General features: G+C 50.3%; 1 protein-coding gene and 1 long non-coding RNA gene across 2 annotated transcripts in view, besides 6 other annotated features; one reads left to right on the forward strand and one right to left on the reverse strand.

Moving 5' to 3' along the window:
• The window catches only part of HLX-AS1 (HLX antisense RNA 1), a 47,378-nt gene extending 41,395 nt beyond the window's left edge, over positions 1-5,983 (reverse strand). The window contains exon 1 of the long non-coding RNA NR_046901.1: positions 5,692-5,983. This is a non-coding gene — a long non-coding RNA (HLX antisense RNA 1). The remainder of the gene's footprint in view (positions 1-5,691) is intronic.
• Positions 4,843-4,892: a silencer, noted in NCBI's record as "silent region_1827". NCBI's record gives its function as "represses an Ori minimal core promoter by ATAC-STARR-seq in GM12878 lymphoblastoid cells {active_cell/tissue: GM12878}" and the evidence as "EXISTENCE:reporter gene assay evidence [ECO:0000049][PMID:35858748]".
• Positions 5,286-10,902, forward strand: HLX (H2.0 like homeobox). Its single transcript, NM_021958.4, has 4 exons — positions 5,286-6,292; positions 7,037-7,216; positions 8,007-8,191; positions 10,038-10,902. The coding sequence occupies exons 1-4, from the start codon at positions 5,701-5,703 to the stop codon at positions 10,545-10,547; spliced, it is 1,467 nt and encodes a 488-aa protein (NP_068777.1). The 5' UTR covers positions 5,286-5,700; the 3' UTR covers positions 10,548-10,902.
• Positions 6,011-6,619: an enhancer, noted in NCBI's record as "H3K27ac-H3K4me1 hESC enhancer chr1:221053510-221054118 (GRCh37/hg19 assembly coordinates)". NCBI's record gives its function as "activates a minimal SCP1, AML or CMV promoter by ChIP-STARR-seq in naive H9 embryonic stem cells {active_cell/tissue: H9 hESC(naive)}" and the evidence as "EXISTENCE:reporter gene assay evidence [ECO:0000049][PMID:30033119]".
• Positions 17,468-18,013: an enhancer, noted in NCBI's record as "H3K4me1 hESC enhancer chr1:221064967-221065512 (GRCh37/hg19 assembly coordinates)". NCBI's record gives its function as "activates a minimal SCP1, AML or CMV promoter by ChIP-STARR-seq in primed H9 embryonic stem cells {active_cell/tissue: H9 hESC(primed)}" and the evidence as "EXISTENCE:reporter gene assay evidence [ECO:0000049][PMID:30033119]".
• Positions 18,014-18,559: an enhancer, noted in NCBI's record as "H3K4me1 hESC enhancer chr1:221065513-221066058 (GRCh37/hg19 assembly coordinates)". NCBI's record gives its function as "activates a minimal SCP1, AML or CMV promoter by ChIP-STARR-seq in primed H9 embryonic stem cells {active_cell/tissue: H9 hESC(primed)}" and the evidence as "EXISTENCE:reporter gene assay evidence [ECO:0000049][PMID:30033119]".
• Positions 19,646-20,285: an enhancer, noted in NCBI's record as "H3K27ac-H3K4me1 hESC enhancer chr1:221067145-221067784 (GRCh37/hg19 assembly coordinates)". NCBI's record gives its function as "activates a minimal SCP1, AML or CMV promoter by ChIP-STARR-seq in primed H9 embryonic stem cells {active_cell/tissue: H9 hESC(primed)}" and the evidence as "EXISTENCE:reporter gene assay evidence [ECO:0000049][PMID:30033119]".
• Positions 21,943-22,871: an enhancer, noted in NCBI's record as "H3K4me1 hESC enhancer chr1:221069442-221070370 (GRCh37/hg19 assembly coordinates)". NCBI's record gives its function as "activates a minimal SCP1, AML or CMV promoter by ChIP-STARR-seq in naive and primed H9 embryonic stem cells {active_cell/tissue: H9 hESC(naive and primed)}" and the evidence as "EXISTENCE:reporter gene assay evidence [ECO:0000049][PMID:30033119]".

The raw sequence follows: 26,280 nt of genomic DNA on the forward strand, positions 1-26,280 counted from the left end.
AAATGTACACAGTATTATTCCTGAACCATGACTGCTTCCCTTGCCCGGTCTAGTGATTTTAAGCACACAATACAAGATCTTCCCATATTGTTGCAATATGGAAGGAAACAGCTGCTAGTCAAAGCCAGTTTTAGAAACCTGCATTTTTGCAAAAGGAAGAGTCAACTTTCATCATAACAATGTTGCTGGCACAGGATGGTTACTGCCATAAAACAATGTAGAGATGGTCCAGCAGGTGTCAGCAGAGAACCAACTTTCAGTACTAGGTGGGCTCCTCCAGGGAGGGAGATGCCCGGGCCTGGTGGGCTGGGACAGGGCTGGGGGGACTCCGTCATTAAATCCAGGGCTGTCCCAGTTCTGGCGGGTGCTGGTAGGCAGATTGGGACCACTGAGATGGGGACAACAACCCATTGGCTTTATCTGCAAAATCCCTCTCATTGGCTCCAGGATCCTCTCCCTTCAGAAGATCCCTTCCCATGACTGTTTTTTAGTCTGGGCCTGAGTCCCTCTTCTGGCCCTAGAACCTGTGCTCTAACTTGAAAACCTGTCTCACAGGGAAGAAGGTTTATTTGTTTGTTTAGAGAAATACTGCTTTGGGAATGCCTTTCATCCCTGTCTGTTTTGGATATATGTTTTTCACCTACTCCTCCTTCTCCTACCTTAACAACCAGCCATTCAGATTCAATAATTCAGGCAACAAATCCAAGGTGAGTGGCTAATGTATGGGAAGTGGGAGAGCACTGTTTACAGCTACTAAATAGAAGCCCGTGCAATGAAGTATGTAAGCTCATATATGCTACAGATAGTCTCTCATATTTTACTCTTATGATTTCATTGCAAATGTATATGAGTCTGTTATAATGTGCCATGTTGAAATGGGTTCTGCCATAGGTTTTATGAGATTTGGGGTCTTTCTTGGCTGGATGTAGAGAGGATGACTTGGAGAGGCAGAGAAGCAGCTCTTTGAAACAGGAGCAAATCCCAAACTGCCTGCCTCCCCTCCCCTCCACATTTCTAAGATTCCCAGAGAGAGAGAGAGAGAGAGAGAGAGTGTGTGTGTGTGTGTGTGTGTGTGTGTGAGAGAGAGAGAGAGGTACATATATGTAAAGTGGTATATCTTAGTAGTGAGGAAGGGAAATATGTGAGAAGCCCTATGAGAGGAAAGGGCAAATGGAATCAGAGCCAAAAGGCTGTCTGAAACTTTGGAGCAAGACCTATGGATAAAGTTCAAGGGCAGGGCCACAGCCAAATAGAGAGCTGGCCACCTGCAAATCTGCCACATCTGGGAAATGGAGAAAAGGAAAAAGAATAAATCAAATAGCTATGGATGTTTGTAGCCCTATTGCATTATTTGCTTTTCCCACCCCATAGCAAAGTCCAATTCTTCTCAAAAACTCAGAAATTCTGGAATAACTCTAAGGTCTCCAAGGAAAGAGAGTTGTGTCCTACTTAGAATAGGCCAAAGTATGCGTGTGTGGGTAGGGGGTGTGTCTATGGGGGATCATTAGAGTCCTAATCTCTAGTATCTGGCACCCACAAAGAACAGAACTCCCATATCCACCACTAAGTATGACTGCTGGGACCAGTGATCCATAAGTCTCCAGCTGGCAGAAAGACAGGCACAATATACACAGATTCCTACGTTGCTGCAAATTTCTTGAATTCTCAAGTAGCTGGATAAGCTGTGTTTCTTTTTCTTTCTGATTGTAAATATTTAATTATTTACATCTCTTTTCTTGAAGCCAGTAGGTACCATGTTTGCAAGAATATTTGAAATTAAGAGGAGAGGGGTTCCGAAGTCCACAGAGCAACTGCCTTGCACATTATTTTACCCAGAATGCACAAGAAAAAGCAACACAGATAGCAGATATAGCCAGTTCAAGTCCTTGAAGAGTTATGGTCCTGTAATATACAAGGCCCAGCATTCACTATAATTGACCTGTGCTCAGTGTGGATCTGTGACTCTGGTTTTGGGACAAAAGTCTGCACTGATGATTTAAATATGGAGGCTCCAAAGACAGGTAGAACCAAAGGATGGTGAAACCCATCTCTTGCCTCAGTCATTGCATAAGCCCCTGATTCAGGACCCTTTTAAACCCTAAATCCCCATAAGCTATATTGTTAAATTATAAAACGAACCTTCTCTGATCTTATCCATTCCCAATATGGTGAAATCGTCTTTGGCTGTGTTTAACTAGGAAAAGTGAAGGGATGAGTTGAAAGCATTAAAAACAGCAGTCAGCATGATCAGAAACCCCAGCCAATGCGATATTTTCCAAAGAAAAGAGGCCACAGTTAGGGTCTCCGCTGCGTAGACCAAGCTCAAGTTAATTCGGTTTAGCCAGGCCCTTTTCTTTCCTGTTAAATTCTCAACCCCCATGGCTACCAGCCCCTGGGGAGCCCTCGCCTCTACCCCCAGGACCTCCCTGCCCGGCTCAGTAGCTCTGGGCCAGTTCATTTCGCCACAGCCCGGAGCCTCTCGGAAAGCAAAGATTAAAGGGGAAAGTCGCAGCTGTATATTTATATTTTCATTGCTAGAAGGGAATTGATTTCCGTGCATTTATTTTGGTAGTTGTAATACATAAGGGCGGATTTGCGTCACCCGAGCAACTTGCCGGTGGAGATAAAGTTGCACAAATATTGAAAGGGGAAGTGCTAGGAGTCATTATAGAGTTTTTCTCCGGAAGAAATAAGGATTTCTGCAGTATCCTAAAATACTAAGGCCGCTTCTATTTTGAGACCAATCTCGCAGGCACATCCGCTCATTTAGTCCCGAGTTTGAGCCCATCAAAAAACAGGAGATGACCTGAACTCCGGCGAGCCCAGGGTTTCCTGCTGCTTTCTTGGTTCTGAAGAGTGGGGAGTAAGGAGGGCGGGAGTCTGCGGGCTCAGAACTCGGCGAGGGGCCTGCAGGGGCCAGGCTTGGGCCTGGGGAAGGGGTAGAGGGGGCGGCGGGGGTCGCTCCAAAGACTTGTATTTCGCGTTTGCCTCCGGGAGCTGGGAGTAAGGCCTTGGATGGCGCCGACGCGGTTGCGAGGAAGCTGAGGCCTGGGAGAGCAAGGGGCGCGCAGGCGAAGTTGCAACTTGCACTCCAGCCGCGGGCCTGGCGGAGAAAGGGAGGCTCGCGGCGCCGCGAGGAGTCGGCGGGCCTCGGGGCCTCGCTTTCGCCGCATCTGCCCAGCGCTCCGGGCCTTGAATCTCGGCAGATGCGAGTTGTGGGCACCTAGGGAACCCTGAGGACTCGCATTCCCCCGGGTCTGTATCCCGTGCCCACCCCGGAGCGTCGCAAACCTTGGAAAGGGTGAAAGCTGATAGGGGAGTCTTATTTCTTAAGAGAGAGGGTGAGGGCGCGCGGCGCTGCCTCGGGTAAGGAGTAAATGCACCTCTTTCACAACCGTGAGTTTGGGCTTAGGCTGAGGTCTAAATGTTTGCAGTCAAATTAGAAACGCAATCAAACTGGAAGTGGCACTAGAAAGCAGAGGGCTCACGGCCTCCGCTACGCACACTCCCACCGAAGGCTCACCAGAACCCTCAGCCAGCGCCTCAATTGCCCATGTTGTACTTGTCGCTCCTTTGCCTTCACCTTGACACAGAAAAACTGGTCTTAATACGTCTCTCGCCCCAGGTACCCCTACCTTCAGCCAAACACACCCATCTATCTCTGGAAATAGCACCTCTCTCCTGGTTGCGTGGAGCAGGGGAAGAAAACCTTTCAGTAAAAGAGAGATGGAGAGCGAGAGCGGGAGAGCTGGAGGGCGGGAGGAGGGAGAGAGAGAGGGAGAGGGAGAGATCTTAGTGCTGGCTGATCAGAAGTGATTGATAATTTTCCAGGAGAAAGTCAAAAGCTTAAAAGGATAGCATCTGCATCAAGGGGCTAGAGAAAACACCAGAAATTAATTTTATAAGCCCAAACCCTGAACTCGAGATAGGCATGGCAAGTTCACTTGCTTTTCTGGGTTTATTTGGTGAGGAGCCTTCGTGCTGAAGGGAAATAAAAATGTCACAGAATCCCTGTTAGGAGATGCTTATTAGGGCAATCGAAAACAAAAGTTTTCGTGGTTTCATTATTCGTATTATTTTATTTTCTTCCTGAAAATGTGCAAGAACAGCTCATCTGGGTGGCCTGTGGTTTGTTTGGGAGAGGGGTGGGGAAATTCATTCTGACTATAATTTAAAGAGAAGAAATTCTTAAAATAGATATGTCGATGTTGCACAAAACCTCCACCACCACTACCCTGCGTTCTAAAGACCCAAGGCACGAATGGAAGACGTTGACCACCACGCAGCTCCTCCTGCAACCAGGCCCAAGGGGTTCCTGGGGAAGCTGTCACAGAATTGAAAGCAGTATTGAACCCCACGGAAATCTGCTCTTGTGGGCACTTGCAAAACAACGAACCCCACGTGATCCGGAGATGTGGTGGAGGGGTGAGGCTAACATTTCCTACAACCTCCTGCAAAGGATGGAAGCGCGTGCCGCTCTCCCGGGTTTCGGGAGGCAGCCTGTTTTGTAGCCTCTGAGGCTCCGGGGAAAGGTTTGGCTGCGTCTAAGAGAGACGTTTGGAGCCATCCGTCTTATTTTGTTTGAAAAGTCACTCGTTCAATTTGTCACTGTGTGACAGCTCAGAATAAAACCAATTTGCGGCCGCCCCTCCTCCTCGCTTCCCGGAGGATCTCCTGGGAGGCACGAGGCGGACGCGGTGCTGAGTTGGGCCGGGACTCAGGGCGGCAACATTTGGGCAAGGGCCCAGGAAAGATGAGGGGCTTTGCCGAGGACACGGACTCCTGGAATAAAAGCAGAATGAGGTCAAGAGAAGGGAAGCAAAGGGGCCAAAGCGCGCTCCGCTCTCCACCGGGAGGCGGGCTTTGCAGAGCCCTAAAGAGTGAGATTACCGTCCCTTCCCCACGCCCCCAACTCGCCCCGGGTGACAAGCGCTTCAGGAAAGCTCCTGTGATCAACCCTCCTTGCCCCGTGGCGGTTCGGAGCTGCAGAAGTTAGAAGAGAGTCAGAGCCCTCCGGAGCGGCTGCCTGGCCCCTACGCAGAGTAGCAAGAAGCACTGCGATGTGCGCTACTAAGCCCACGCGGCCGCAGCAAAAACTTTGGCGTGGCCGGGGCGTGGCTAGGGTCCGGCCAGGCCCCCTTGTTCCTAATTCCCCTCCACTCCCCGCTCCCATTGGTCACGAGGATGACCAATGAGCGCTCGGATCGAGGTCCTACCCCGGGCCTGACTCGAAAGCTCCTGCCAAAACTTTGGGAGTTTTTAGAGACGAGTTTTTTTTTTTTTCTATTACTTTTCCCCCCCCCTAACTAACGGACTATTATTGTTGTTGTTTTAAATTTAGCTCTTAGGGCTTAGCTATTTGGGTTTTCTTGCGGTGTCCGGCTCCCGTCTCCCTGGCTCCCCCGCCCGCCCTGCGGCCCCAGCGCCCCTCGCTCTCATCCAGCCCGCGAGGAGTGCGGGCGCCGCGCCGCCTTTAAAGCGAGGCCAGGGAGCGAGGCGGTGACCGGCCGAGATCCGGCCCTCGCCTCCTCCCTCGGTGGCGCTAGGGCTCCCGGCCTCTCTTCCTCAGTGCGGGCGGAGAAGCGAAAGCGGATCGTCCTCGGCTGCCGCCGCCTTCTCCGGGACTCGCGCGCCCCTCCCCGCGCGCCCACCCACCCAGTCCGGCTGGACTGCGGCAGCCGCGCGGCTCACCCCGGCAGGATGTTCGCAGCCGGGCTGGCTCCCTTCTACGCCTCCAACTTCAGCCTCTGGTCGGCCGCTTACTGCTCCTCGGCCGGCCCAGGCGGCTGCTCCTTCCCCTTGGACCCCGCCGCCGTCAAAAAGCCCTCCTTCTGCATCGCAGACATTCTGCACGCCGGCGTGGGGGATCTGGGGGCGGCCCCGGAGGGCCTGGCAGGGGCCTCGGCCGCCGCCCTCACCGCGCACTTGGGCTCGGTTCACCCGCACGCCTCTTTCCAAGCGGCGGCCAGATCCCCGCTTCGACCCACCCCAGTGGTGGCGCCCTCCGAAGTCCCGGCTGGCTTCCCGCAGCGGCTGTCTCCGCTCTCAGCCGCCTACCACCACCATCACCCGCAACAACAACAGCAGCAGCAACAGCCGCAGCAGCAACAGCCTCCGCCTCCGCCCCGGGCTGGCGCCCTGCAGCCCCCGGCCTCGGGGACGCGAGTGGTTCCGAACCCCCACCACAGTGGCTCTGCCCCGGCCCCCTCCAGCAAAGACCTCAAATTTGGAATTGACCGCATTTTATCTGCAGAATTTGACCCAAAAGTCAAAGAAGGCAACACGCTGAGAGGTAGGTCTTGGGCGGGAGGCTGCAGGCCTCTGACCACTGACCCACTCCCCGGACCCCGGGCTGGCTTGGGGTGCCTTTGAGTGTTTTTACAATTAAGGACAAATCGGTAAAACGGGAGAGAAGAAAACGAATTGTAAGAAAACTACAAAACATTAGGTCTAAAACTCACCTGTTCTATGTAAAACAAACAAAAAATGACTCCAGGGATTCTTTAAAAACACGTCTTAGAATCAATATTTATAAAAGTGGTTGGTGTAATTATCTGCTAACATGACTTTGATCTCTTTAATAATGTATCTAGAGACAGAATTATATTTTCTGACAGCTAAAGCATTTTTGGGAAACACTTTCGCACTTATCTGATTTCTAGTAAAAATTTCACCCAGGAAATGTAAATAATAAACAAAACCGCCTAGATGAGCGGGCAGAGTGGGGCCACCTTGGGGCGGAGGTTTTGCGTCTGTGGCGTTCTTGGAAGACACGTGAAAGTGAGGCCGTAAGCCGATTTATGTAAAGCCTTTACTTACTATATACATGCATATGGACGTGAGGGACACACAGGAACTTTTCGTGCGTCGCTCCTTGGCAACTGTTGGGAGAGAGAGGTTTCAGCGCCTAGACGGGTTCTCTCTTGACTTCGCTCAATAAAAGTGAATCCAGGGCAAGGGGAAGGGGAGGAACAAATCAGCGGAGAGTGTGAGTGTGCCCGAGATGTAACCTGCTATCCTTTTCCCTTGTCCCCAGATCTCACTTCCCTGCTAACCGGTGGGCGGCCCGCCGGGGTGCACCTCTCAGGCCTGCAGCCCTCGGCCGGCCAGTTCTTCGCATCTCTAGATCCCATTAACGAGGCTTCTGCAATCCTGAGTCCCTTAAACTCGAACCCAAGAAATTCAGTTCAGCATCAGTTCCAAGACACGTTTCCAGGTACGGAAAAACTCCAGAGTACTGCCTAACGGGCGAGCCGACTAACAGTCAGAAATCTCAGGACTGACGCCTCCAGGGCTGCCACGGTGTCGCAATCTCACAATTGGGGCGGGAGGCTACGGAGTCAGGAGAGAGAAACCGAAAGATTTCTCAGCGAGCTAGCGCTCGCTTCGGATGGTTCCCCTTGAAAAGGGGTAGAGGCGCCTGGAGATCCCAGAAAGTGTGTGCGTGGACGGTGGGGTGGGGGGCTTTCTCGAAGTCTTTTCGCCCCAGAGGGCTTGAAAAATGCAGCATCAATGTTGCTTATTAGCATATACACATTTTGGGATGACCTCAAACACTTGTGCTTGGCGAGTTTATGTCTGGGTGCCTGGACACATGCGGGAATAAACACACACACACACACACACACACACACACACACACACACACACACACACGAGATAATTCAATTCAGGGCTGTCATCATTCAGGCCCAAGGGACATTTTTGTCTACTCTTCGTAGGCCTGATGGCCACGCATGAGGTTTATGTTTTTCTCTTGGAATTAAAGGACAAGCCGCCAGGCTTCTCCACTCCACGCTCGCTTTAGGTCTTCCGACTGTCGTGTAAAATTCCTCCTTAGAGGGGCCATTCGGTGTATGTGCGAAGGGCTTTCTGAATGAGGGTGGAATCGACAGTTAACACGAAACAGTTTCAAGCCTTACGGGGACCCCCAGGCTGGCAGGTCAAGGACTGGACACTGAACGGCCCTCTTGTCTTTCTTCCCTCTGGCTCCCGTTCTGCGGCAGGTCCCTATGCTGTGCTCACGAAGGACACCATGCCGCAGACGTACAAAAGGAAGCGTTCATGGTCGCGCGCTGTGTTCTCCAACCTGCAGAGGAAAGGCCTGGAGAAAAGGTTTGAGATTCAGAAGTACGTGACCAAGCCGGACCGAAAGCAGCTGGCGGCGATGCTGGGCCTCACGGACGCACAGGTAAGGCAGTTCTGGCTCCAGCGCACAGCGCCCTCGGGCGGGCAGCAGCGCACGGCCTAGTCTGGTAGGTCCCCTCCATCCCGGCCGACTGGCCTCCTGCGGTGCAAACGCAAGATCTTGACTTTCAAGAGGCTTTGTGGACTACGCAACTTGAGGCAGGAGAAGAGGAGGGTGGAGATGGGGTGAGGGAGAAGGACCGAGAGAAGAGCTCATCCCCAAGATGTGTGTCAACAAGCACTGCATGTTTATTTTGGCCAACAGGCTAAAGAACCACGGAGAAAGCAAAAGGGCCGCTGGAAATAACACTGATACACTCAACTGTAGTGCAATTCGCTGTAGGAGGCAGTTTATTTCAGAAAAGATAAAAACCCAAAGGCAAGAGATTGTTGTTGGGTTTTTTTCCCTCTCACCCTCCCTCCTTCCTCCTCCTCCTGCTGCTTCTGCTGGATTGTGAAATCCCCAGTTGTGAGGAAGTGAAAATATAATTTCAAACGGAATTAGTTAGCTCCAGGAGGGCAGGGAGTCTGCTTGGAGTGGCCACACATTACAAGGCTTAGGCTCTGAAGAAAATCTGAAGGAAGGGGAGAGGTGAGGGAAAGAAAGAAAGAAAAATGATTCTCTTAGAATACCCAAGAGCATTTCAGCAGGTTCTGCCTATTTGAATTTTTTCAAGACAATAGGAAATGTATTGTGGCTGAAATAATTTTATTCTTTTTCTTAAATTTAAGAACTGGGCTTCCCCACCCCCCACCACCCGAGCTTTGACTGTGGAAGAGTCACTCTTGTGCACCCCATAGCACTGGCTCTGGCTCTGGGGTGCTGATTTTCCCCAGCAGGTCAGAAGCCAGAGGCAGGCTTCTTTTTCTTAGCTCCTTGGTCCCCAAATTGCTGTCTCTGTTTCTTTCTGACCTCCATTACACAACTCTTCTCCCCAGTACACACACACACACACACACACACACACACACACACACACACACACACGAGGAGCCCAGCCGTTTTCCACCAGCTGTGGATGTTATTTTTAAAAGGGAAGCTGGAACTTGTGTGAATGCGTTGGGTCCCCCAGGGGATCGTATATATCTGTATAGATTCTCTGCCCCATCTCTATCCCCTTCCTTAATTTTGCACACATTTAATTCCATTGTTTTCTGAGCCCCCAGGAGAATTTGTTTATCCTTAACAGGGGCAAGGTCCTTATCAGCTCTTGCGTACAAACACACCAAAGAAATGCTGTCTTACTGAAAGCCCAACAATGCCCCCACCCTACTGTGATTAACAGTTTAAAACCCCTTTCCCTTTCTGCTTCCCATGTTTCCTTTTTTGAAAAAAGTATTGCTTTGGGTAGTGGCAGTAGAGGAGAGGGCCAACTTAGAGCAGGAATTCTTAACACTGGCACACCAAACCCTTGACATTGTAAGCAATATCTTGGGCATATGTGTATTTTTCTGGGCTAGGAGTCCATAACTTTAATCAGATTCTCATGGGGGTCCTGGCATAAAAAAATTACATGGATTTAGAGTAGAGAGAGAGTATGTTGGGGGTCGGGTGCAGGAATCTGCCTTTCCAACAGTCACTCAGGTCATTTTAGTCCTGGGGCCTGAGGGTTGCATTTTGAAAACGGTCTTAGTGGGTTCCCTAGGCCAGGATTCCTGGCTTCTTGTGTTCCCCTGGGCTGCCCCTTGGCTCCTGCGCCTACCACAGTGTCTGGTCCTTGGTAGAGTCGCCAAGTAAGCGTTGCTTTTTCACTCAGGGAGGTGGCTTGAGGGTGCACGCGAGTCGGATAGGAGCAAACCTGGGTCTCATCTCGGTGTCTCTTCTTGTCTCCCGGTGTGGCGCGGCGCAGGTGAAGGTGTGGTTCCAGAACCGGCGGATGAAGTGGCGGCACTCCAAGGAGGCCCAGGCCCAAAAGGACAAGGACAAGGAGGCTGGCGAGAAGCCATCAGGTGGAGCCCCGGCTGCGGATGGCGAGCAGGACGAGAGGAGCCCCAGCCGTTCTGAAGGCGAGGCTGAGAGCGAGAGCAGCGACTCCGAGTCCCTGGACATGGCCCCCAGCGACACGGAGCGGACTGAGGGGAGTGAGCGTTCTCTGCACCAAACAACAGTTATTAAGGCCCCGGTCACTGGCGCCCTCATTACCGCCAGCAGTGCTGGGAGTGGTGGGAGCAGCGGCGGCGGCGGCAATAGTTTCAGCTTCAGCAGCGCCAGCAGTCTTAGTAGCAGCAGCACCAGTGCGGGTTGCGCCAGCAGCCTTGGCGGCGGCGGCGCCTCGGAGCTTCTCCCTGCAACACAGCCCACAGCCAGCAGCGCTCCCAAAAGCCCCGAGCCAGCCCAAGGCGCGCTTGGCTGCTTATAGACTGTACTAGGGCGGAGGGGATCCGGGCCTTGCGTGCAGCCTCCCAACCATGGGCTGGGTTTTGTGCTTACTGTATGTTGGCGACTTGGTAGGGCAGGAGACGCAGCGTGGAGCCTACCTCCCGACATTCACGCTTCGCCCCACGCTGCTCCGACTGGCTGCAGCGGACACTGCCCAAAGCAGAGGGGAGTCTCAGTGTCCTGCTAGCCAGCCGAACACTTCTCTCCGGAAGCAGGCTGGTTCGACTGTGAGGTGTTTGACTAAACTGTTTCTCTGACTCGCCCCAGAGGTCGTGGCTCAAAGGCACTTAGGACGCCTTAAATTTGTAAATAAAATGTTTACTACGGTTTGTAAAGGCCGCTTGGCTTTGCTGGGGGTTGTTAAGGCCAGAGATCTACAACCGGACCTTAGTCCCGGGGACACTGTAGAATGCAGCAGCTGAAGGTGGTGGGGCTGGAGTTTCAGGGGAAGTGGCTCAACCTCAGAGCCATCTTGTTACAGACATCAGAGATGGGCGTCTGGGTTTAGAGGCTTCTAATTAAGAGATTTCTAGCGCCAACTGCCACTGAAAGTGCCCTCTGAGACCCTGAGTAGCCTGAGAGTGGAGCAGGCCATAGAAACTGTTAGGCCAGTGCAACAGATGGTTTCCCCATTCACAGTATGGACGAAATGAGTTCCTAGAGTACTCAGAGTTGGAATGGGGAAGGCAGTGATGCCAGGCGGGGTCAATCTAGGCACAGCTGTAATCACTATGTGGACGCGAAGCGCGGGCCCAGAGCCCTGCACAAACTTTTCCTTGTTCCGGGATGGGGTAGAGGACAGGTTTGCAATGTTGCTGAGGAAAGGACAGACATGACACAGTGGTTAGAGCTGGAAGCTTGGGTCTTAGAGTGCCAGGGCCCTGGTTGTAAACATGCCAAACAAAGAGGTGACTTCTTCAAGGTGAAGCAGAGGCACAGCCCAGATCAGAACTTGGACTTCCTGGCCTACATGTGGCCACGGATAGAACTATGAAGTTGCATCCTCCATTCCCTCATCCACGCAAAAATTTTCCTTTGCAATTTGGCCACTGGAGGTGCCTAGATGAGCTCTTTCTCCCCAAAGCTGCTGAGAGTCGTGAGGCAGTTTCCCCATCCCACTGCAGCTGGAAAATATGTAGTAAACCTTGACACTGCTACTAGGATGGGCAATTCAAAGATTTTTTGTTTGTTTATTTCTTTTAAAGGTGAAAAGTTAAACCTCTCTCCAGGACCTGTCCTCCTGCTTGTAACTGTGAAATGTCTGGAGTTGCTAAAAGCTCTTTGGGGGGATTTTATAGCAAATAGATTTCTTTGGGAAATCCTGATCAGTCTCAGTGCCAATCTCTTCGGCACTGAGCAAGTGAAGGACACAAGGTCTCTGGCAGACCCAGCATCCAGGCGGGGTGGCCAGTTCTCAGAATGAGTTGAGGAGAGGTGCTGAAGTCAGAGAGCCTAGGACACACCTCAGTCCCTTGGCCAGAGTGGGAAAGTTCTCAGCAGTCCTCTGTCTTGCTTATCTCCTCCACTTTTAGACATTCCCCTGGAGCTCATTCCAGGATCTCTGTTCTCGACTTTTCCATCCAGGGGTGAAGTAGAGGCAGCAGATTGAGCCTTCTTACACTTGCATAGCCAGATACAAGATACAGATAACAAGTCCCAAAGCCAACACATGGATGCAAAGATGATCATTTCCTGACCCAGCCAACCCCCTAAGTCCCCAAATCGAGATGATTCAAGAGCAGTGAGAATGGAGTAGGGGCAGAATGATCAGAGATGTACAATTTAGTCAAGAGAAAAGAAAGAGCATACCACAAGGGACCCCATCTTCAATAGGAACATGAACTAGCTGTTATCCCTAATTGTGTCACAAGAGTTTCCAGGCCAGGGCAGCCTCCCCACCTGGCCTGGGTGCGGGCCAGGGCTGGGATAGTTCTTCAAGCCTTCTGTAGGCTCTGCTGCCAAACTTCAGGATTCCCTCTGTACCTCAGTTTTGTCTGCATTATCGATATCAATTTCCCCTGACCCCACATATCGAAATTCTGGAAGCAGGATATCCCAAGCACATCGAATTTTGAGGTGCTTCAATCCAGCTCTGGCGTTAAGGAGAATAACGCGTCGGCACGCACACTTAGCTGAGGAGCGGAGTCTAGGGAAGAAAGGTGGGGAGGATGCTTTATACAAACCGCACTTTCCCCTGCTCCTCACCTGGCCCTGGAGGTTTCCGCTACCGCCAAACCCAGACCGTAGGTCCACGCCCTGGCCCCGGGGCTTTGAACGTGAAGAAAATCATCATCGGGGAATGTCATGATGTGATTTCAGGTAGAATTCTGCCTTATTTAGGCCACCTTTCGCCAGGCCAGGGGGCACGGCAGAGCTGGGGGGCTCAGGGATGAAGTGAGCCGGGGGGGTGAGCGCCTGAGGGCGGGAGTCAGAAGGACGAATACCACCCTAGTGCTCGCAGGAGGCGCCCCTGCTTCCGCCACCCCCACCCCCAGTTCCTAGTCAGTTATCACCTGAAGTTCTTGCGGGGCTTTACCCTAGCAGTGGAGTTCTTCCACATTTCATCAGAATCGGAATATCACAAGCCCCGGAAAAGTTACAGTTCATCTGGAAGAAGGGTAGCCACAGGTGGCCAGGAGGAAAGGCTAAAATTTGGCCGGATAGTCCCATCCCAGGGCTGCTCTCTCGACCCCGGGTACTGGGGTCTTCTTGGCAGCGCAAAATGCTAGCAAAGGCGGCCAAGCAGCTCGAAATTCTTCAACCAAGACCTAGAGTTTTCAGACCCGGAAGAGAAGGCCCAGCGCGGACCGTGCGGGGCGCTAGAACCGCTCAGGGTTGAGGCTTGGAGCAGGAGAGCGCGCGGGCCCCGGAGCAGAGCAGAGCAGAGCAGAACAGAGCCGCGGCCCCCGCCCCTCCTGCACACAACCCGAGACTCCAGCCAGCGATTGCTCTTTGAGCAAAGCTTTGCCTAGCCCGCTGAAGTCCCCGCTGCGCGGAGCCCTCCGAAAAAGGCTACCAAGGTGCACAGAGGCTCACAGAGGGATGGTGACCACGGTGCGTTTCCTTTGGGGCGGGGGTAGGGACTCAATACCCATCACCCATCCCCTCCAACGTGGACGCACACAGACCTGCAGATTCATATAGACACACGAGAGACAGGCAGTATACTGGCTATTTCAGCACTTTGCGGGTAAAACCACGCTAATAAATTTCCCCATTCTCCTCCATATGGCAAAGCAGAGAGGAGCCTCTGCCGCCTTATTCAGCCTGTGTGGGTGGGTAGGGCGCTTGTTTCCACAGAGAATTTGCCTAGCGCCAAGTTCCGCGGACTAAACCACTGAAGGCTGGCGCCGCGTTTCTCTCCCTTTTGCCCGCTTCAGTCGAGAGTGGGCATAGACATCCTTGCGAGCAGTGTGTCTCCCTCGCCTTCCTGTGCCCACCCCCCCGCCCGAGGCCAAAGTCGTCAGCCCCCGGGGCAGGTCCAGGCGAGGTCCTGCTTCCAAGGGAGGCTCAGGTCATTATACCAGCCAGGGAGATTTCCCGCTTCTCTCCCTCTACTCCCTGCAAAGAGTCGTGTGGATTGTAGGCGGGCTCAGACTCTGCTTGCCACAAATCCCTCTGACATCCTTTGCACCTCAGAGGCAACCATAAAGGAACTCCAGTCACTCTGGGATCTTTTCTCTGGCTGCCCTCTCTACCCAGGATCTGGAGTTTGATGTTGGCAGGGGATGAACTAGGTTGTGGCCAGCGCAGGGCAGGCACAGTAAGAGCGCCTAGGCTTCTTTTCAAGGTGTCAGAAGCCGAAGAAACAGGAGAGTGAAACCTGGGTTCTCCTGTCTGGGAAGGCAACCGCCAACGAAAGCTTCGGAGTCAGGAGAGGGGTGTGGTAGAAACCAGGGCTTGTAGCAGTGGATTTTCTGCGGGCACCTGGACTTGACTTGATCTGTTGAGCTTTAACCTGTTGAGCTTTAATCTGTTTCCACAGATCTGAACCCACCTCTGCTCAAGCCCACGCCTACCTGAGACTCTCAGTGGGCTGGATGGAGCACGAAACGGGGGAAGAGAAGTCAGAGGCTGAGGTTGATGCAGTCTCCCATCGTTTTCAGGCATCCTAGTCCCCTCTCCGGCTTCTTCCTCCCTTAAGAAGAAAAAGTAGGCAAGCTCAGCCCTCCCCCACGTGATGTAGTGACACCGCTTTAAAGATGACCAAGAGGACCCTAAACATGCTGGGACATCACATTCTCCTTCTTTAGCCTTGTGAGTTGGAAAGGACTGATTGCACACTCCAATGTATTTGTGAAGATGCGAGTTTTAAGGAGGATTTTAACTACAGGTATTTGGGCTAGGGAAGATTTTTTAAAATCCGAAATTTTGATTTAACTCATGCACTCATCTAGCTCACAGCCTCCATTTTTGAGGTCATGATGAGATTGGCTGGCGTCCCAAAGACAAACTAGTTGGCTTTCTCTGAAGCTTCCCTTCACACACTGGGATATTACAACCCACAGTGCCTACCCTCTGCCAGCCACTCTTGGGGAATCCAGACTGCTTACACAGGGTGGGGAGCACTTTCTAAGATTCCCTTCAACTCAGGTTCTAACAGAGCAGCAGCCTCCACGAGGATCCCTGGGCCCTGAGGACAGGTGAGCTTAGAGAACCCCTGGCCCTTTAATCCCTTCCCTGTCTCTGCCCCCTGTCATTTTAGAAATCAGGAATAGAAGTCTCCACAGTTATGATTGTTCCCAACTTCCTCGTTTTTGGGTTGAAGTAACAGAGGCTGAGAGATGTGAGAATACTTGCCCAAGGTGCCCTGGAGAGTGAGTGCAAGGACCAGGATGGGCCTTGTGTCAGGGCCTCCTGCAGTACACAGGAACATGAAAGCTGGTGCCAGACACTCCTGAGCAACCAGATTCTGATCCAAATTATCAAAGCTCAATAGGTTTTCAAAAAGAGCATGAGGTTCAACCACTGCCTGGGATGTTGGGCTCCCATTAGCTCCTTCTCTTTCCCCTTGGTGGTTCCTGAGGGGTCTGGGAGTCGCAGGTCTGGGACTCCATTGGGTTGATACCCTGCTCTCCACCCTGCACTGACCTAATAGCAATGTTAGCTTTGCTAATAGTGTGTAGGATCCCAGCCACACTGTGCTCACGAAAGGAAGCGACATCCATGGTGCTTTTTGACTTCCATTGATCATTGCTGACACTTAGGATTCTGGGCAGAATGTGGAGATCGAGGCCCAATCATGCCTGCGTGGCAGCCCCTGCGCTGGATCCTTGTTTCTTCCTCTAGCCTCAGATTCAGCTGAAGCCATGGCAGATAGTAAGCCTCACCTCTAGCACAGTCCACCCTGCGCAACACACGAGGAACCAGAAAGAGACCTTGGAAGTGGCAGCGGCAGCATCGCCTGACATGCGCTCCGAACTTGCCTCTCTGGAGACCCTCAACGACTCTCTGGGTTGGGGGGGTTATTCGAGGAGACCGGCAGGAGGAGTGTGCAGGAAAAAGCGGGCCTGATCCCAGCCCAGCATAGGAGGTCTGAACTAACCCCAGAGGCATTCATTCATTCATTCCCTCACCCACCAATAACTAGCTACATGACCTTGGAAAATTCATCTAATCACTTGGTTTGTTTTCTCGGTGAAATGGGATATAATCAAAGGTATGTAACTCATAAATTGGTGTAAGACTTCATGACAGTTAAAAAAAAAAAGCCAAAATGAGAACAGTGGCTGGTATACAATTAATGCTATAGGCTTCGATGTTACTGCATTCCTTCATCCATTCATTTTTTTCATTGCAGTATTTATGGGGATCCTTGTGAGTGTTTGCACCATAGAGAAAAAAAGAATGCAAGACAACCTTTACTCTCCAAGAAATTATATCATTAGATGAAAATGAGGATGCCTTGTCACCAGGAAATCCTTTAAGGAGTAGCCCAGAGAGTTAGGATGTGCTGCCTGGCTAGGTCAGGGGTTGCTGCATTTGGAAGGCCTTCTTCATCTTGATGCTCCTGGCACTATGCACAGGAGCACCTCAGTCTGCAAATTTCACAGCAGGCAGGCCATACAATGCTTGTGGGTGTGGTGGGGACTTACTCATGGGAGTTAGAAAGGAAGAAGTTAGTTTTCTGATACTTAGTTTTCTGAAGCTTAAGCAAGTGTCCAGGGGCACAGAAGGGAAAATTATGTTCCAGCTGTTGAGATTATGTTGGGACAAATAGCACTTGGGGAGTTTTATTAAGTTTTTAACTAATCACAATGAGGGAGGGCCCTCGAAACGGAAACAGGAGATTAACGATTCCTTCGAGGAAAAAGGCACCCTCGGCTTCTTGAGAGCAGGGCTGGACTCTGCTGCATGGTTGGAGAAGCTCTAGCACCTAGCTCAGTGCTTGGCACAGGAAATGCACCCCCAAAAGTGTTTACTGAATGAACGACAAGTATAATTATTGTGGCCCTTGTGGTTATTTATAGCATCGCAGGGTAGGTAGCATTATAAACACAGTAGGAGGCTGTGCAACACGACCCAGAAGTACCAGGTAGTAACCCCGGGAGTGGACCTGGAGCTGCGAATCATCTGGTCGAGGACCCATTAGGATCCCCGATGCTAAGGTCATCACAGAGAGGCAAGAGAACGCGTTCACAAGCAGGACTCGATGCAGGCGGCCGAAACTCTGGTCTGCGTACCATTTGGGCATCGTTGTAGGTGGAAACCAACTGGTAGGGAGGTTGAATGACTCACTCAAGGTCACTTCCCTAGTGGTCAACGTCAAGAACCAGGACAGAAGTCCAAAGCTTTCTGTGCTTTCTCCAGTCCCTCACTTATGCGGGGGTGCGGAGCGCTAAGATCTGCCCGAGCCTCTCTTGGAACACGGAAGAGCACCGCAGAGCGGGTAAGAACGCTAGGCGAGTTGGTCTTAGTGCGTCTGCACCCCGCCGCCTCTCTCTGCGGAGCAAAAGTGCCTGTTCTGCGGAATTCCCTAGCCACCCTCAATCCCCACTGTCCTCGACCAGAGATTTCCCAGTCTGCAAATTTTAGCCTCGTTTTAATTTGTCGGGGCTGTTTATTTTTGTTTCTCAGAATCCGCGTGACGAGTGCACCCAGCACGTGGTAGAAGCTCAAGAAATGAGCAAGTGAACGAAAGATCAAAAGAATGAACTAATGAGCGAATAGGATCCCCTATCTGGCAGTCCCGACTTGCATCCGTCATCACAATCCGGCCACTGTTGAATTTCACTACCTGCTGAAATGCGGGCCGCGCACGCCTCCAAAGAGGTGTCCCTGAGACTCTACGCAGCCAGGCTCTCGTGGTCTGGGGCTCAGATCTCGCTCCAAGGCCTCCTACCTTCGGGGGTCACAGGGTCTCGCCCCGTTCTCAATGGCTTTGGGTGTAGCATAGGAAGGTCCTGGGTCTTCCGTGGTCTCGGATCCCCAACCTGCCCGCCGAATATTCATTCAGTTCACGGTCAGCGCGGGCCCCTTGGCCCCCACCTCCCCCAAGCTGATCGCTACGTCAGTCGGTTGCCGGTCGGGAGCGCCCAGGAGATGACTCTTTGAGGCCACTTTGGGTCAGCTTCAGCGATCTAAGCCAGGTCTCCTTTTTCTTGCCTCCATCAGGGACCCTGCAGCCTGTGCTGACTACTCTTCCAGGCCAAGAGCACAGTTTTGTAGCTGAAAAAAATGGGGGTGAAAAGCTATAAAGAAAGAGTCAAACTAAAGACTTGCTGTGTGACACACAATTTTTAAATGGAATGTCACCTGTAATTTGAATTTTCCCATATCCATTGGTCTTCACTCTCCCTTGCTTTGTATGTCCTCACCATTTCTCACTTTTCATTTTTTCCTCTTTGCTCATTGAGCCCTGGGCTTCCTTTCGTCCTGGTACTGTTCAAGATTCCGTTCAGAATTTTAAGAGGAACGGGACTCCCCTGGCTTGGTTCCAGATGACCACCGTGGAGGACATGGAGGACAGAGTGTGTGACCTGAGACAAGGGATGACAGGGCTGCCAGGCAGCTCCAGAGGTGATGGAGGACAGCCTATTAGCTAAAATGTAATGAAAGGAAGAGATTTTTAAAAATTAGAATAGATCTGCATAATTTTTTTTTAAAGCCCACAAAAGTGCCATCCTCCTCAAAAGCATTGCTCAGAGCCAAGGGAGACATGCTGGGGACAGAAGGGCCACTCACAGCCTCGATGTTACTCATCTACAGATGTGCACATCATTTGAGCCTCTACTATATGCTGGACCGGTTCTGGGTTAGGGACCGTCAAGGGTCTCCAGCTGAAACGATCCAAAGGTGCTCTGACATGTGCCCTCCAAGCTAAAAGTTTTAGCAAAATCGAAAACTTTCTTTCCCACCTCTTTCCTCTTATTTCTCTTTTGCTTTCCTCATCGCGGAGGAATGGTGGTGAGGAGACCATCCCACCTCCCTGTGTTCTCTCCAGCTAGCTCTCCAACTACGCCTTCCCACTTTCTTCTTGTCAGTTTGTTCAGCAACCCAGAGGCAGTTTTTAGGTTAGGGGCGCATATCTGATACAGGGCACAGTCACAGACAGAGTTCTGGCAAACAGAAGGCGCTCAGTAAGTGGAGATTGTTATTAAACTATTACTACGATGACACTGCGAGTTCATTCTGGCTGGAGAGAGTGTCTATACTCGTTTGAAATCACCTATGGGTGCGTGCAAGTAAAGAACGGAGGAAAGAGACACAAGTCTTTTCCACTCTTTGAACAAGAGGTGAAAGTCTTATATCTCATGTAACCATCACAGCAACTCAGGGCAGAAGATATTCTTCCTCTCTTACAGATGGCCATTTTGAGAAGCAGAGGGGTTGGGTAATTTGATCAAGGTACTTGGCGGGTAAGGGGCGTGGCCGAGCCTCTGACAGAAATCTGCCTTTCTTACTCCAATCTCCGAACTTGTGGTCTGCGGCGATTTTCTACAGTCAAGGAGAAAAAAAGTTCAAAGAAATGATTTGTTCTTTTTGACGAATTATTCTGATCATTATTTCAAATATTCACCTTACAATGTTAGTGTATACCCAACCATAGAGAAATCTATTAAAAGTCATCTCGCTGCATCCCCAGGGAAAGCGCATTCATGGTATGCCCTGTATGGTATGCCCTGTACGGTATGCAAGGTTCACAGCCGAAGGAAGAGAGGGCCCAAGTGCAAAAACATCTTTAAGCGAACGTCGGTCGCCACGTGCACTTACTGTGTACCTCCCACCCCAAACCTCAGGATAGAAAGACATAAATGGGTCCAGAAGCCACAGAAGCGTCTTCCTCCCTGCTCCTAGTCATCCCTTTCGCTTTCCATTCTCACCTGGCCTCCCCCAGGCCTCGCCTTCTTCCCTCTTTACTCCATTCCCTAACTCCTGCCTCGTAGGCAGCGGTGGGGAGCCGCAGGCTGCTCCCCGAGTCCCAACGCTACTAGGGTGCTGTAACAGTGATGAGGCGGCGTTGCAGTCTGGCTAGGCGCTGCAGCGGGCACCAGCTACGTTTTGCTGTCGGCGGCAGTTACCCGGACGCAAGTTAAGGGGTAGGCGCGCAGAGGCGGTTGGAGGCGGGCGGCCGGCCCCTGACCTCGGAGAGCTGCGCCGAGCAGGGCGGAAAATTTATGGTCTGTGTACACTTTCTGGCTCCAGAGCCCCGCGCACCAGAAGGATGGGGCCCTGCGAGCGCGCCCCAGGCCGCGAGCTGGGGCCGCAGGCGCCACGGCCATGTATAGTGCCCACCCGACTCTGTTCTGCAGCGCTGTGGTCATAAACCTTCCCTTAGAGGGCGCGGCTGTAAACGAAAGTCCGGGCGAGAGGTGGATGCAGGCCTTGCCGCCCGGACCCTCAGGTATAATTCTGGAAACTTGCACGGAAGCCTGGGTCCCGCCATCTTCCCTGTTGTGGTGGGGTAAGAGGATAGTTTATACTGGCTGTTTGGAATCCCGCGCGGTGGATGCAAGGTGGGATTCCAGCCCAGCGACGCGCCGCGTGGCCGGGAGTGCAGACAGGTCACCGGTCCCCGGGTGTCTGGACCGCGCCGCTTCCTACTGGGCTTACTTCGGGATCTAGACTTCGGCCTCCGTCCTTGCAAGGGCCCAGATTTGATTCCGGTTCGTCGAGGCGGTCTGTAGCAGATAAAGGGCCCATTAAAAAGCTGGACCCTGTGGGCCTTCGGTGCCAGAGGAAGCGAGAAGATGGCTCGGGAGTCAGTCCGGAGGCAGGAGGCCCATTTCGGGTGGAGGCCAGAGGTCTAGCTGCTCGCACTTCATTCCGGTAGTGGTAGTGTTAGCACGAAGCATGTCCACGCTGTTTTCCCCGCCTGGGCTACACCCACACAAAGGAGCTGTAAGTTAAGCTGGGCGGTCAGGGCTACGTAGGTCCCTTTACTCACGTTGTCACCAGAACAGGTGTCACGGAGTGTAGCTGCATAACAGCTTAATTTTTAACACCAGTCACGACTTTTCAATCTGTTCTTAGTAATCGTTGTGCCCATATACCAGGCACTGTTTTCACAACCTTTATATGTATTAGCTCATTTGCCTTTTACCAAATCCCAGTTAGGTCATTACTTACATTATCCCCGTTTTACAGATAAGTAAACTGTGGTAAGAGAGTTAAATTAACTTGCCTAAGGACATGCAGTTAGCAAGTGGATTTGGGAATAACTCGCATCTTCTCTGCACGGCCTAGATTACCTAAATCATCTGTAGCACACTGACTCGAGCATCAGGCGTCCCGCAGGCGACAGTGGGCAGAATTCCCAAAGAACCTCGGGTCAGTTTACCCACTCGCAGACCTTCTCCCGAGGGGGAGCGCGCCCCTGCTCCGGCGCCGGGAGTAGCTGGCTGTAGGGATCAGCCGAGCGAGGTGGCCGAGTCCATAAACACGGGCCATTTAGCAATTACCCCCAGGGCGTGATAATTGCGCTGGGCAGTAGTGACTGTGAGTCGCTGTGACACTGGCTTCTCGCCGTCTGCTGTCTTTTGATTTACTGTCGCACTGGGTCTCAGCACCCAGTCGCTCAGGGCTGCCAGGGTAAGCGGTGAGGCGCTAGCGCGGGTGCAGCTTCTCTCCGACGCCATCCAGCTCTTCTCGCGGTCTTTACCCTGCATGGGGGTGCAGGGGAGTCGCACTTCAGAAGGTTTTAGCCCCTCTAACTGGGAACGTCCAGAGACTTTTCCCTGGGGTAGGGACGTGGCATTGAGGAGTTGGCGATTGATTTGAAAATAGAAGAGGTAGGATGAAAAGGATCAGGATGGACTATGAAAGCACAGAGTGAAAAAAGAAGAAGAAATAGGAACGGGAAGAGGGAAATCATCAAAATAAGTGGAATTTTGAAGCATTTCTCACATTGTTTTAGAGGGCGGGTGGAGTTGACACAACTGCTTTGGGTCTGAGCCATAAATTAATAGAAGATTTATCCCTCAATCAGGAAAAAGCCATTAAGATATTCTTGGCTTCGTCTGTGGGAAAATAATTTCTTTGATTGAGTTGCCCCAGAAGACCCTGCGGAGCCTTCTCTTCTCCGCCTCCGATGGCCTCCTCTTTCCTGCCTGCCGGAAGGAGGGGAGAAGCGGGAGACTCCAGGGAGAAGAGGCCTTTCCATCTTTTCCAGCATCTTGAATTTCACTTTGCGCGTTTCTTTCTACTTTTTGGTTTGATCTGCCTGCCTTGGGGGCTTGGAACCTCAGAGGGAAATTCCTCCCGCAGCAAGCCGAGCTTGCTGTGGCTGCCCTTCTTCCTTCAGGTCCGCTGCGTTGGAGAGTGGGTCCTCGGCCTCTCGCAGGACCCAGCACGTCAAAGGCCTTTGGTCTGTTAACAAGACTACAAACTACCAGGGCGGGGGCGGAGGTGGGGCAGGGAAAGTGGAAAGCCCCTCAAAGTGGGAGGCAGCAGTCCCAGAATAGGGTGACCAGTTGTCCTTCCTGGGCATGGAGGAGCTGAGCTCCCCTTGTTGGTCCTGGACTCAAAGTGTGGTCCCCAGTTCCTTAAGGGTCCTTTCAGAGGGTCCCTGAGGTCAAAACTATTTTCATAATAAAAGGTTGTTGACTTTTTAACAAGTGTACAATGGAGTGTTCCGGAGGCCACATTCGGTGTGGTGATGTCAGGGCTCTGATGGCTTAGGGAATGCGTGTGCATATTGCAGTGTTTTACAAATGTTTTGGTTTTGTATTTTACCACAATAAAAATGCATTTTAGAAATGTGTTTTGGGGCCTGCACAGTGGCTCACGCCTGTAATCCTAGCACTTTGGGAGGCGGGTGGATCATCTGAGGTTAGGGGTTTCAACACAGTGAAACTCCATCTCTACTAAAAATACAAAAAAAAAAAAAAATCTGGGCGTGGTGGTGGGCGCCTGTAATCTCAGCTCTCCATAAGCTGAGGCAGGAACATCACTTGAATGCTGGAGGCAGAGGGTGCAGTGAGCCAAGATCATGCCACTGCACTCCAGCCTGGGCGACAAGAACGAGACTCCCTCTCAAAAAAAAAATGCATTTGGTTTTATAGCTCTACCTATCTTATCTGGTTATTCACGTGTGAATTAATTAATATGAAACAAAATGAAAAATGTTATTTCCTCAACCACATCAGCCACATTTCAATTGTTCAATAGCCATATGTGGCTAGTGGCTGTCATATTGGACAGTGCAGACACAGAATACTTCTATTCTCACAGAAACTTCTATAGAACAGCACTAATCCATGCCATAAATATAAATAGATATAACCAAGCAAACAACATTTAGCATCCTCAATAAATTTTTTATTATACTTTAAGTTCTGGGTTACATGTGCAGAACGTGCAGTTTTGTTACATAGGTATACACGTGCCATGGTGGTTTGCGGCAGCCATCACCTACATTAGGTATTTCTCCTAATGTTATCCCTCCCCTAGCCCCCCACCCCCAGAGGCCTCGGTGTGTGATGTTCCCCTCCCTGTGTTCATGTGTTCTCATTGTTCAACTCCCACTTACGAGTGAGAACATGCAGTGTTTGGTTTTCTGATCTTGTGATAGTTTGCTGAGAATGATGGTTTCCAGCTTCATCCATGTCCCTGCAAAGGACATGAACTCATACTTTTTTATGGCTGCATAGTATTCCATGGTGTATATGTGCCACATTTTCTTAATCCAGTCTATCACTGATGGACATTTGGGTTGGTTCCAAGTCTTTGCTATTTTGAATAGTGCCGCCATAAACATACGTGTGCATGTGTCTTTATTGTAGAATTATTTATAATCCTTTGGGTATGTACCCAGTAATGGGATTGCTGGGTCAAATGGTATTTCAAGTTCTAGATACTTGAGGAATCGCCACACATTCTTCCACAATGGTTGAACTAATTTACACTCCCACCAACAGTGTAAAAGGGTTCCTATTTCTCCACAACCTCTCCAGCATCTGTTGTTTCCTGACTTTTCAATGATCGCCATTCTAACTGCCGTGAGATGGCATCTCATTGTGGTTTTGATTTGCATTTATCTAATGACCAGTGAGGATGAGCATTTTTTCATATGTCTCTTGGCTGCATAAATATCTTCTTTTGAGAAGTGTTTGTTCATATCCTTTGCCCATTTTATGATGGGGTTGTTTGCTTTTTTCTTGTAAATTTGTTTAAGTTCTTTGTAGATTCTGGATATTAGCCCTTTGTCATATGGATAGATTGCAAAAATTTTCTTCCATTCTGTAGGTTGCCTATTTACTCTGATGATAGTTTCTTTTGCTGTGCAGAAGCTCTTTAGTTTAATTAGATCCCATTTGTCAATTTTGGCTTTTGTTGCCATTGCTTTTGGTGTTTTAGACATGAAGTCTTTGCCCATGCCTATGTCCTGAATGGTATTGCCTAGGTTTTCTTCCAGGATTTTTATGGTCCTAGGTCTTACATTTAAGTCTTTGATCCATCTTGAGTTGATTTTTGTATAAGGTGTAAGGAAGGGGTCCAGTTTCAGTTATCTGCATATGGCTAGCTGGTTCTCCCAACACCATTTATTACATAGGGAATCTTTTCCCCATTGCTTGTGTGTGTCAGGTTTGTCAAAGATCAGATGGTGGTAGATGTGTGGTGTTATTTCTGAGACCTCCATTCTGTTCCTTTGGTCTATATATCTGTTTTGGTACCAGTACCATGGCTGTTTTGGTTACTGTGGCCTTGTTGTAAAGTTTGAAGCCAGGTAGCATGATGCCTCCAGCTTTGTTCTTCTTGCCCAGGATTGTCTTGGCAATGCGGGCTCTTTTTTGGTTCCATATGAAGTTTGAAGTAGTTTTTTCCAATTCTGTGAAGAAAGTCAGTGGTAGCTTGATGGGGATAGCATTGAATCTATAAATTACTTTGGGCAGTAAGGCCATTTTCACGATATTGATTCTTCCTATCCATGAGCAAGGAATGTTTTTCCATCTGTTTGTGTCCTCTGTTATTTACTTGAGCAGTGGTTTGTAGTTCTCCTTGAAGAGGTCATTCACATCCCTTGTAAGTTTTATTCCTAGGTATTTTATTCTCTTAGTAGCAATTGTGAATGGGAGTTCACTCATGATTTGGCTTTCTGTCTATTATTGGTGTATAGGAATGCCTGTGATTTTTGTACATTGATTTTGTATCCTGAGACTTTGCTGAAGTTGCTTATCAGCTTAAGGAGATTTGGGGCTCAGATGATGGGGTTTTCTAAATATATAATCATGTTATCTGCAAACAGAAACAATTTGACTTCCTCTCTTCCTATTTGAATACCCTTTATTGCCTTCTCTTGCCTGATTGCCCTGGCCAGAACTTCCAATACTATGTTGGACAGGAGTGGTAAGAGAGGGCATCCTTGTCTTGTGCCAGTTTTCAAAGAGAATGCTTCCAGTTTTTGCCCATTCAATATGATATTGGCTGTGGTTTTGTCATAAATAGCTCTTATTATGTTGAGATACGTTCCATTGATACCTAGTTTATTGAGAGTTTTTAGTATGAAAGGCTGTTTAATTTTATCAAAGGCCTTTTCTGCATCTATTGAGATAATCATGTGGTTTTTGTCGTTGGTTCTGTTTATGTGATGGATTACGTTTATTGATTTGCATATGGTGAACCAGCCTTGCATCCCAGAGAGGAAGCCAACTTGATGGTGGTGGATAAGCTTTTTGATGTGCTGCTGGATTCGGTTTGCCAGTATTTTATTGAGGATTTCGCATCGATGTTCATCACGGATATTGGCCTAAAATTCTCTCTCTCTCTTTTTTTTTTTGTTGTGTCTCCGCCAGGTTTGGTATCAGGATGATGCTGGCCTCATAAACTGAGTTAGGGAGGGTTCCTTCTTTTTCTATTGATCAGAATAGTTTCAGAAGGAATGGTACCAGTTCCTCTTTGTACCTCTGGCAGAATTTGACTGTGAATCCGTCTGGTCCTGGACTTTTTTTGGTTGGTAGGCTATTAATTATTGCCTCAATTTCAGAATCTGTTATTGGTCTATTCAGAGATTCAACCTATTCCTGGTTTTGTCTTGGGAGGGTGTGTATGTCCAGGAATTTATCCATTTATTCTAGATTTTCTAGTTTATTTGCGTAGAGGTGTTTATAACATTTTCTGATGGTAGTTTGTATTTCTGTGGGGTCAGTGGTGATATCCCCTTTATCATCTTTTATTGTGTCTATTTGATTCTCCTCGCTTTTCTTCTTTATTAGTCTTGCTAGCAGTCTATTTTGTTGATCTTTTCAACAAACCAACTCCTGGGATTCATTGAT

This window comes from Homo sapiens, chromosome 1 (assembly GCF_000001405.40).
Source record: "Homo sapiens chromosome 1, GRCh38.p14 Primary Assembly".
Classification (NCBI taxonomy): domain Eukaryota; kingdom Metazoa; phylum Chordata; class Mammalia; order Primates; family Hominidae; genus Homo; species Homo sapiens.